Source organism: Homo sapiens, chromosome 12 (assembly GCF_000001405.40).
Source record: "Homo sapiens chromosome 12, GRCh38.p14 Primary Assembly".
In the NCBI taxonomy this organism is placed as follows: domain Eukaryota; kingdom Metazoa; phylum Chordata; class Mammalia; order Primates; family Hominidae; genus Homo; species Homo sapiens.
In genome coordinates, this window is record NC_000012.12 from 48,565,760 (window position 1) to 48,577,049 (window position 11,290).

At 42.0% G+C, this 11,290-nt stretch overlaps 1 protein-coding gene across 2 annotated transcripts; it reads right to left on the reverse strand.

Moving 5' to 3' along the window:
• Window positions 1-1,924: 1,924 nt before the first annotated feature.
• LALBA (lactalbumin alpha) lies at window positions 1,925-6,086 on the reverse strand. 2 transcript variants are annotated; one of them, NM_001384350.1, is made up of 5 exons: window positions 5,979-6,086; window positions 4,129-4,280; window positions 3,323-3,481; window positions 2,758-2,833; window positions 1,925-2,258 (listed from the first exon to the last, which is right to left on the reverse strand). In NM_001384350.1, the coding sequence occupies exons 2-5, from the start codon at window positions 4,259-4,261 to the stop codon at window positions 2,198-2,200; spliced, it is 429 nt and encodes a 142-aa protein (NP_001371279.1). In that variant the 5' UTR covers window positions 4,262-4,280; window positions 5,979-6,086; the 3' UTR covers window positions 1,925-2,197. The 2 variants fall into 2 exon arrangements, with proteins under 2 accessions (NP_001371279.1, NP_002280.1); NM_002289.3 differs by lacking the exon at window positions 5,979-6,086 and having other exon boundaries at window positions 4,129-4,287.
• Window positions 6,087-11,290: the final 5,204 nt, after the last annotated feature.

Below are 11,290 nucleotides of genomic sequence, written 5' to 3' on the forward strand. Positions count from 1 at the left end.
GGCTGAGGCAGGAGAAACGCTTTAACCCAAGACGTGGAGGTCTCAGTGAGCCAAGATCGTGCCACTGCACTCCAGCCTGGGCAACAAGGGCAAAACTCCATCTCAAAAAATATATATACATAAGCTAGTGTGGGGAAAATAAGTACAGACTAGGAACAAGAGAGAGTTTGCCTGAGAATTCCAAATGCAGACCCCAAATGCCTTTGGTAGTGTTGCTTGTACCAAAGAACATGGCATTTTGTTTGTTTATTTGATTTAATACATGGATTATTTTACAACTCAACACACTACAATTGAACTGAATATAAACACAGAAAAACTGCTCTGTAGTACTAGTACAGAGTAGGCATCTATAAACATTTGTATCATAACCCACTGTAACAAATGAATAATTGAAAAAAAGAAAAAGATGTCTTTCCTGCCAGTTCCCTGGCTTCTATCTGTTCTTGATCTTCTGACCTCAGGCTGAGGTTCTCTCTACAGATAAATCTCTTACTGTCAATTCCTTCAGCAACAGCTCCTGAAGATCATGAACTCATATACGGTGTACTTGCCCACACAGGTGAACTTTCCTGTCTTCTCTGTGGGATGAAGGCCAGGGCTGTGGAGCTGAGCAACAATGCGAATGTCATTCTCAGCTCATTCAGAGTGTGACAAATTAAACTGTAGTTTGGAATGCTGGATTGTTAAAGCAGGAAGTGATCTCAGAAAACTATCTAGACCAAAATCCTTATTCTAAGATGAGGAAACTGAGGCACAGAGAATGGAGATGACCTGCCCAGGTTCAGACCCTCAATAAGTAGCAGAAACAGATTTTAGGACCCAAATTTCCTGATTCTTCTTCTTTCACATATCCCATAATTATTTAAATGAATGAAGTTCTGCAAATATTCTCCTTAAAAACCAAGCACAGCACAAGAAGAAATAATGGAGTGGAGGGTCCAAACCAAAAGGTCCCATTTTCTCAGATTCTTCAGCACCACTGTGCTGACTGTCAAGGTCCCTGTTCTCTCTCTGGTTTCCAGAGACAGGAAGGGTTCCCTTCACAGCTCCTCATGAAGGATAAAGAAATCCTTCAACAAGTCACCCATTTCAGATTCTTGGGTTCCCGTCCATGCTCTTCCTTTTCCCACCCCACATCTCCACTTGTCAAAATCCCACACAGACTTTAAAACCAGCCTAAATGCTCTCCCTTTCAGGAACCCTTTCTTGATTCCTTTTTCCCAACATCCCCTCCAAAGATAAGTTATCTTTCCTTTTGTGAATGCCCAGCGCACATTTCTAACCTCTCTCATGATGCTTATAACTCTCTTCCTTATATTGTAACTATTTATTAATGTTTATCTTGTCTTTCCCATTAGTCCTTGAGGGAAAAGGCTATTCAGCCAACTTTGTGTTTTTGTTTTTTGTTTTTGTTTTTGTTTTTTGAGATGGAGCACCCAGGCTAGAGCGCAATGACGCGATCTCAGCTCACTACAACCTCTGCCTCCCAGGTTCAAACAATTCTTCTGCCTCAGCCTCCCGAGTAGCTGGGATTACAGGCGCCTGCCACCACACCCAGATAATTTTTGTACTTTTGGTAGAGACAGGGTTTTGCTGTTAGCCAAGCTGGTCTCAAACTCCTGACCTCAAGCAATCTGCCCACCTCAGCCTTCCAAAGTGCTGGAATTACAGGTGGAAGCACTGCACCCGGCCAGTGTTTAGCCAACTTTGGATCCGTCTACAGTTCCTTGAATAGATTAGGTGATCAATAAAAGTTTGTTGCATTGAGTTGGTACAGACAGTAACCTTCACCTTTCTATTGTAAATTCAGCCTACTTCTTCTTCAGTAGAGATGGAAGGTGGCTATGACCTATGGCTTCAGTGTCCACCTACTCATCCTATTTCTTCCCCTTCCCTCCAGGGGGAAAAAAATTACAGCCAGTGACTTCAAAGTGGGACCTTTATTCAAGACAGAGGTGAAATCTGTGCTGTAGTGAAAGTGCCATCGAAGGCACTGAGTAAGGGTCTAGAGCTCAGTGCACCACTCAGGCATCCCTGGAAAATAGTCTTCAAGAATTCGGTGATGTCACTACAGGGCCCAAGGCTCAGAGACAGATAAGCTTTGGGGGAACAGAAAGAAACAAACTGAGGTGGCATTAGGGAAGAGGTATTCCAGGAGTGTGGAGTGGGCAGGGGTGCCAAGGACAGCAGACACTCACAACTTCTCACAAAGCCACTGTTCCAGCTTCTCAGTGCAGAGGGCTTTATGGGCCAACCTGATAATGGAGAAGGGGGACAAGGTGAGTTAGCTGACTGAATCTTTACATTCATTCCCAGGAGGGCTGAAGTGGAAGAGCGTGGACGAGAATTACAGAAAGACATTCCTGGCCTGATGTCAAGCGACACAAGCCATCAAGTGGAATACAGTCCATAAAAAATATCCAAGAAAATTGTAGGGTTAAAAAAGAGATGCAATGTTACCAACAGCTTGCTTTAGGGCATAGAACTAAACAAGTGGAATTAGATGTCCAAGTCTAAGTGAAAGGAGGCCTGGGTCTGAGCCCTCCATTAGGCAACCCCTTATTAGGAAAATTGCTACCAAGGAGCGGAGCGAGAGAGGCTTAATAACAGAAACCTGAGTCTCTAGGTAAGCTTTGTTTCAGACACTGTATTCTAGATTAAATGACCAAGAGATAGGGTAAGAGGAAAGGGGTGCTGGGCTAATGGGGTAAGGAGAAGGAGGATGGGGAAATAGAAAATAGAATAAGGATTCACCAGTAGTCAATTCCTTTAATATCCAGGATCTTCTTGGCACACATTATGTCATCAGTAATGTCATCATCCAGGAACTCTGGCAGGAGTTACAGGGAAAGGATTGAGACAGCTGACAAGTATTACCCAGAAAGGCACTGAGTTCCCCTAACCCCTGGATCCAGTGGGTTCTCTAAACTCAAGGCTTGTGCCTGTTGTCTTTCTATATGAAAGGACCAATGTGGTAATGTCTAACCCTGGGTAGGGACTTCCTTCATTTCCCTGGGATATCTCTGGAGGAATCATCAGCTTCATCAACTGACTTACCCTGAAAATGCAGACAATCAGATTCCAAGACTCTCAGACAGCTCCGATTGTCTACCACTGAACCTCAAGGAACTGTCTGGGGATTTGATGACCATGAAAAATCCAAACAGCTTCTTACTCAGTACTGCCAATTCAAGTCCCACAATTTTTATAGAGCCCAGCCAAGGCAATGAAGCCTGAGGTCTGCTTGGCACTAAAAAGGAGATTATCCCAAGGGCAGGCCTCAGAAAAACAGAGAAAGAGGGTTATAGGGGCTACTCACTGTCACAGGAGATGTCACAGATGTTCCTTGACTGAGGGACCTGGCTGCTCTTGCACCAAAGCTTATTACTGATCTGGAAGAGTCCATATTCCGTGCTTTCATTGTTTTCAACTATGGCTTGTGTGTCATAACCACTGGTGTGAAACATGGTACAGATCACTGAGGGAAAGATGAGAAAGAGATACCACAGAGATGTACAGGATCTGCATAAAGGAGGAACTGTAATTCTCAGACAAAAATGCTTTCCAGCCAATCTCCAAAGATGGCAAAGCTCAGAGTTTCTTGATGAGATGGAGAATTCCAAAAAAAAATCAGACAATAAGAGAAAGAAAGGATAGGAAAATAAATGGGGCCAGGCATGATGGCTCACGCTTGTAATCCCAACACTTTGGGAGGCTGAGGAGGGCGGATCACCTGAGGTCAGAAGTTTGAGACCAGCCTGGCCAACATGGTGAAACCCTGTCTCTACAAAAAATACAAAATTAGCCAGGCATGGTGGTGGGTGCCTGTAATTCCAGCTACTTGGGAGGCTGAGGCAGGAGAATCACTTGAACCGAGGAGGCGGAGGTTGCAGTGAGCCGAGATTACACCATTGCACTCCAGTCTGGGCAACAAGAGCGAAACTCCACCTCAAAAATAAATAAATACATACATATATACATACATGAAATAAAAGAGTATGCAAATGAGCAGAAAAGAGGATGATTAGATAATTAAGTAAAAGTGGAGGGGCGAAGTGGAAGAAAGAGGGGATGGAGGAGAGAAGCGTATGAGGAATGGATGAAACACAGAGGCAGGGAACTCACATTCAGGCAAAGCGATGCCTCCATAACCATCTATGTCTTTCAGCAGCTGGGACAGCTCACATTTTGTGAATTGCTTGGCCAGGATGGCAGGGAACAGGATGCCCACCAGGAACAGAGGGACAAAGAACCTCATTTTGGCTACCCCCAAGAACCTGAAATGGAAGCATCACTCAGTTTCATTTATTTATATTCATGCAGAAAGCCTCAGGGGCTCTGGTACCAAGCCCTACATCTAGGAAGAGAATGAAGAGAGACTGGTCATGCCAAGACAGAAACGCTGAGCCTGCCAGCTTCCTTCCATAATTCACCCTACTTTTCCTTTCCCTCTCCCAGTATCTAGTCCATAGCAGGTATTGTTCTCTGGCCAGAAAGAGTTCAAACCATGATCCTGCTTCCCATTTGGCTTTGTTTAGCCCTTTGTTTCTTGTAGGGTTGGTTCTGGGAAGCACTGTCTCTGGTTACTTGAGGAACAAAGAAGGGCATGGGGGCAATATAAGAAGTGAGGCAATCAGAAAATACAATAAAGTTCTATACCGAGCTTCCCCCTTCCCCCCTAGAGACATGCAGAATGTGGAGAGGGGGTGTATGTCATCACATGCCACAGTCCCAGGATCAGAGCTGGCACTTGTCCAACCAATCCAGCCATGTAACAAGGCCCAGAATTAGTTCTTTAATATGGTAGCTCATGACTGAAGGCTCAGAAATAGGAATAGAATATGGGAACGTAGACTACAACAATCCGATATAACTTGGATCTTAAGACTTCCTACTTAAGGAAAATGCATAATTGAAAAGCCTGTATGAAAGCATCTAGGCCAGGCACAGTGGCTCACACCTGTAATCCCGGCATTTTGGGAGGCCGAGTCTGGTGGATCACTTGAGCCCAGGAGCTCGAGACCAGCCTGGGCAACATGGTAAAATCCCATCTCTACAAAAAAAATTAGCTGGGCATGGTGACATGTGCCTGTAGTCCCAGCTACTTGAGGGGCTGAGGCAGGAGGAACACTTGAGCACAGGAGGTCGAGGCTGCAGTGAGCCATGTTCACTCCACTGCACTCCATCCATCCTGGGAGACAAAGTGAGACCCTATCTTTAAAAAAAAAAAAAAAAAAAAAGAATCTAGCTATCCTACGAGCTATTATCAGATTCCCCACCCCTAACCACTCCTACCGTAAATAACCAAATACTACACTGGCATTGAGACATTACATAAATCTAAGACCAATAACTTGTAGACAACCTCAGAGTTGGCCACAGAAAGTGGGAAGGACCCAAGCCAGTGGAAAGATTGGACTTTAAGGCTGAACAAGCTTATGTCTGGAATCTCTATAAGGTCAGTGCCCCTGAGCAAGTAGAGTTGAGGATACTAGTTCTGAATAGCTCCTTTAATTTGCTGGCATGAAGCTTCATGTCATGGTGACAAGTAGCTCTTAGCTCCTTCATGCCACCATTCGTCTTCTTTGTCCTCATCTCTAAACCTGATTTCTTCTTCTTCTTCCTTTTTTTTTTTTTTTTTTGACCAAGTCTCACTCTGTTGCCCAGGCTGGAATGCAGTGGCGCGATCTTGGCTCACTGCAACCTCTGCCTCCCAGGCTCAAGTGATTCTCCTGCCTCAGCCTCCCGAGTAGCTGGGACTACAGGCACGTGTTACCATGCCCGGTTAATTTATGTATTTTTAGTAGAGACGGAGTTTCTGCATGTTGGCCAGGCTGGTCTCAAACTTCTGAGCTCAGGCAATTTGCCTGCCTGGGCCTCGGCCTCCCAAAGTGCTAGGATTACAGACAGGAGCCGCTGCGCTGTTTCTTATGTTTCAGGGAACATTTATCCCAACCAATCTATTTAAGACTTACATACTGAAGGTCTTCCATATCGTTATCTCCTACATGTATTCAGAGTCAGGGAAAAGTCCTCTCAGTTAAATCCTGTCTTCTGTACCATGGATAACCAGTATATGAAGTGGCATGAGTGAAGGGAATGTGGAGGATCTTGGTGTGCCAGAAGGGATGAGCAGAAAGTTCTGATAGCAAGAGATACATGTTCAGAAACACAACAGAAGTGGAGCCACTCCATTTCTCCGCATTCCACCCAGAGGCACTGCAAGGGTACACGACAGGAATGGGAATTCTATCACTCTAAGCTTTGTTGAGAATATGGCTGAGAGTGACCTTGAACCATGTGTGAGAGGGAAAGATAAGAAAAGCTAGTCCTGAGGACTAGTCCTTCCAATAGTGGAGTCTTGTGTAAAATGCCTCCTGCCCTAGGCTATTGACTAAGTACCTGTGATAGAGTAAAAGGGTGGGCCAGGGTCTCAAGAATCACAGGGGTTTTCTACACTTTCAGCCAAGTCAAGACCTAAGGCAGCTGCCTGCTTGCCTATCATTTGATTATACCTTGGCCCTTCCCTATAAGCAATAAAAATAAGCATACAGGTCAGGAATCACAACTAAGTGCAGAAAAGAAAATAAACATGTCTCCGGCAAAAGGAACCATTATTTCCCTATAAATGTTCTTAAAATAGGATACGTGGGGGTCATCTGAAAAAGAAGATAGAAAGTGTCTAATGGGAACAACTGCAAACATCCAGAGAAAGATGCAGCCTCTTGGAGATTGTCCAAAGGAGAACAATACACAATGATCGCAGCACTGAAAGAGGAAGTATGTGGAAAGACATTAAGCACAGCTCGTGGAAGAAAGCTCCTGCTCAACAATTCCTGTCCAGGAAGAAACCTCCTCCAAAATCTCCCTTTCCAGAGAGGTTTACTCAGGGTGCTCTGCATGGAGGTCGAGAGCTGAATCAAGATGGTGAAGAGGCATTTACAATACACTTACCTAGATTTTGTTAGAAATAGACTAGAAAATTATGTTCATTCTCTCAGATGCTGTGGGGAAATATCCAGGTTTCTAAAACCAGAAATCACCTTTTTGAAGATGAACAAAATAAAAATTTTATTTCTAAAAGTAAATTTCTTTATTTATAAAATAAAAAGTTCAGGCCGGGCATGGTGGGTCATGCCTGTAATCCCAGCACTTTGAGAAGCCAAGGTAGGCAGATTATTTGAGGTCAGGAGTTCGAGACCAGCCTGACCAACATGGCAAAATTCCGTCTCTACTAAAAATACAAAAATTAGCTGAGCATGCTGGCAGGAGTCTATAATCCCAGCTACTCGGGCAGCTGAGGCAGGAGGATCGCTTGAACCCAGGAGGTGAAGGCTGCAGTGAGCCAAGATTGTGCCACTGCACTCCAGCCTGGGAAACAGAGCAAGACTCCATCTCAAAAAATAATAATAATAATAAAAATAAAATTAAAATATCTTTATTTCTGAAAATAAAGAAATTGAAAGCATGTGTTTCAAGGCACGTTTTCCATCTGAAACTGTAGTCTGTAGGTGAGCTGGAGTTTCTAGACAGAGCCTAGGCCTGCCATTTAGAGGGAACACCCTGAGAGCCACAGTCATAATGGCCATTACATCTTGCAGTTAATATCCTTACCTTGTGCCTGCAGTGGCTCATGCCTATACTCCCAACATTTTGGGAGGCTGAGGCAGGAGGATCACTTGAGGCCAGGAGTTGGAGACCAGCCTGGGCAACATAGCAAGACTCTGTCACTACAAAAAAAAATAAAAATTAGCCAGGCATAGTGGCACGTGCCTATAGTCCTAGCTACTGAGGTACGAGGATTGCTTGAGCCCAGGAGTTCAAGAATGCAGTGGGCTTTGATTGTGCCACTCACTCTAGCCTGGGCAATAGAGCAAGACCCTGTCTCTATTTTAAAATACACTTATATCCTCATCTTGTTCTACTTTCTCTCATAATTCAGGAAAATTATCACTAGGTAGACAATGATGCTAGATCTTGAAACCCAAATTTCATGAAAATGTTTAACCAAATTAAAGAGTTAATTAAAGTAATTAAGATTTAGAAAGGGAGTGATTTTTTATTGGCATTTTTCTTTTTCAGCTGCTTGTCCAAAAGTCCTTACAAAGTTACTCAGCATTATAGATTCACATTCTATATCCCACACCAAAGGCCTGCTTGCAATTTATATGGGCTTATTTTGGATTGCTATATTTGCATTACTATTTATATCACTGCTTTTATACTTAAATGAACCATTGATTCATTTGTGTGAATTGGGGATAGTATCAACCAAAAAATGCAAGCATGGAAATATAAATTATAACACAAAAATGATTTTAAAAGATACTAAAATAAATTTTACCTTTTTAACTGAATATTAGCTAAAACAAACCGATACACATGTAATTACCAAGAAGCTAAAAAAATTTCTATGCAAATTTTAATTGATTTTTCATTTTTAATTTATAAAATGTTTATTTTTAAATAAACATATTTACATAATTTTACATCAACACCTTTGATAGAATCTTACATCCTATTTTTTGTGAACATGGTAGTTTTTCCTTTCCTTTTAGGAATGGCTTCCCTTTCTTCCTCCTCATTTCTTCCTTGCCAAACATCATCCTGGCAACTCATATTAACAATCTACCACCGCATTCCCCATAAAGTATTTATTTCACATTGCATGCCTGTATCAAAACATTTTATGTACCCCATAAATATACACAGCTATGATGTACCCACCAAAATTTAAAAAACAAAAAAGAGCCTGTTATTGGTCTATTCAGAGAGTCAACTTCTTCCTGGTTTAGTCTTAGGAGGGTGTATATGTCAAGGAATTTATCCATTTCTTCTAGATTTTCTAGTTTATTTGCGTAGAGATGTTTATAGTATTCTCTGATGGTAGTTTGCATCTCTATGGGATCGGTGGTGATATCCCCTTTATCATTTTTTATTGCATCTATTTGATTCTTCTCTCTTTTCTTCTTTATTAGCCTTGCTAGCGGTCTATCAATTTTGTTGATCCTTTCAAAAAAACCAGCTCCTGGATTCATTAATTTTTGAAGGGTTTTTTATGTCTCTATTTCCTTCAGTTCTGCTCTGATTTTAGTTATTTCTTGCTTTCTGCTAGCTTTTGAATGTGTTTGCTCTTGCTTTTCTAGTTCTTTTAATTGTGATGTTAGGGTGTCAATTTTGGATCTTTCCTGCTTTCTCTTGTGGGCATTTAGTGCTATAAATTTCCCTCTACACACTGCTTTGAATGTGTCCCAGAGATTCTGGTATGTTGCGTCTTTGTTCTCGTTGGTTTCAAAGAACATCTTTATGTCTGCCTTCATTGCGTTATGTACCCAGTAGTCATTCAGGAGCAGGTTGTTCAGTTTCCATGTAGTTGAGCGGTTTTGAGTGAGTTTCTTTATCCTGAGTTGTAGTTTGATTGCACCGTGGTCTGAGAGACAGTTTGTTATAATTTCTGATCTTTTACATTTGCTGAGGAGAGCTTTACTTCCAACTATGTGGTCAATTTTGGAATAGGTGTGGTGTGGTGCTGAAAAAAAATGTATATTGTGTTGATTTGGGGTGGAGAGTTCTGTAGATGTCTATTAGGTCTGCTTGGTGCAGAGCTGAGTTCAATTCCTGGGTATCCTTGTTAACTTTCTGTCTCGTTGATCTGTCTAATGTTGACAGTGGGGTGTTAAAGTCTCCCATTATTATTGTGTGGGAGTCTAAGTCTCTTTGTAGGTCACTCAGGACTTGCTTTATGAACTTGGGTGCTCCTGTATTGGGTGCATATATACTTAGGATAGTTAGCTCCTCTTGTTGAATTGATCCCTTTACCATTATGTAATGGCCTTCTTTGTCTCTTTTGATCTTTGTTGGTTTAAAGTCTGTTTTATCAGAGACTAGGATTGCAACCCCTGCCTTTTTTTGTTTTCCATTTGCTTGGTAGATCTTCCTCCATCCTTTTATTTTGAGCCTATGTGTGTCTCTGCACATGAGATGGGTTTCCTGAATACAGCACACTGACGGGTCTTGACTCTTTATCCAATTTGCCAGTCTGTGAAATTGTGGCAATAATCAATAGCTTACCAACCAAAAAGAGTCCAGGACCAGATGGATTCACAGCCAAATTCTACCAGAGGTACAAGGAGGAACTGGTACCATTCCTTCTGAAACTACTCCAATCAATAGAAAAAGAGGGAATCCTCCCTAACTCATTTTATGAGGCCAGCATCATCCTGATACCAAAGCCTGGCAGAGACACAACCAAAAAAGACAATTTTAGACCAATATCCTTGATGAACATTGATGCAAAAATCCTCAGTAAAATACTGGCAAACCGAATCCAGCAGCACATCAAAAAGCTTATCCACCATGATCAAGTGGGCTTCATCCCTGGGATGCAAGGCTGGTTCAATATACACAAATCAATAAATGTAATCCAGCATATAAACAGAACCAAAGACAAAAACCACATGATTATTTCAATAGATGCAGAAAAGGCCTTTGAGAAAATTCAACAACCCTTCATGCTAAAAACTCTCAATAAATTAGGTATTGATGAGACGTATCTCAAAATAATAAGAGCTATCTATGACAAACCCACAGCCAATATCATACTGAATGGGCAAAAACTGGAAGCATTCCCTTTGAAAACTGGCACAAGACAGGGATGCCCTCTCTCAGCACTCCTATTCAACATAGTGTTGGAAGTTCTAGCCAGGGCAATTAGGCAGGAGAAGGAAATAAAGGGTATTCAATTAGGAAAAGAGGAAGTCAAATTGTCCCTCTTTGCAGACGACATGAATGTATATCTAGAAAACCCCATCGTCTCAGCCCAAAATCTCCTTAAGCTGATAAGCAACTTCAGCAAAGTCTCAGGATACAAAATCAATGTACAAAAATCACAAGCATTCTTATACACCAATAACAGACAAACAGAGAGCCAAATCATGAGTGAACTCCCATTCACAATTGCTTCAAAAAGAATAAAATACCTAGGAATCCAACTTATAAGGGACGTGAAGGACCTCTTCAAGGAGAACTACAAACCACTGCTCAATGAAATAAAAGAGGATACAAACAAATGGAAGAACATTCCATGCTCATGGGTAGGAAGAATCAATATCGTGAAAATGGCCATACTGCCCAAGGTAATTTATAGATTCAATGCCATCCCCATCAAGCTACCAATGACTTTCTTCACAGAATTGGAAAAAACTACTTTAAAGTTCATATGGAACCAAAAAAAGAGCCCGCATCGCCAAGTCAATCCTAAGCCAAAAGAACAAAGCTGGAGGCATCA

Excerpts from the sequence above, each read along its gene's own strand:
- LALBA (NM_001384350.1), bottom strand. The coding sequence starts at position 4,261 with ATGAGGTTCTTTGTCCCTCTGTTCCTGGTGGGCATCCTGTTCCCTGCC. Across the intron at positions 2,834-3,322 it reads CTGTGACATCTCCTGTGACA|AGTTCCTGGATGATGACATT; the intron begins GTGAGTAGCCCC and ends AACTCCTGCCAG. Across the intron at positions 2,259-2,757 it reads ATTAAAGGAATTGACTACTG|GTTGGCCCATAAAGCCCTCT; the intron begins GTGAATCCTTAT and ends CTCCATTATCAG.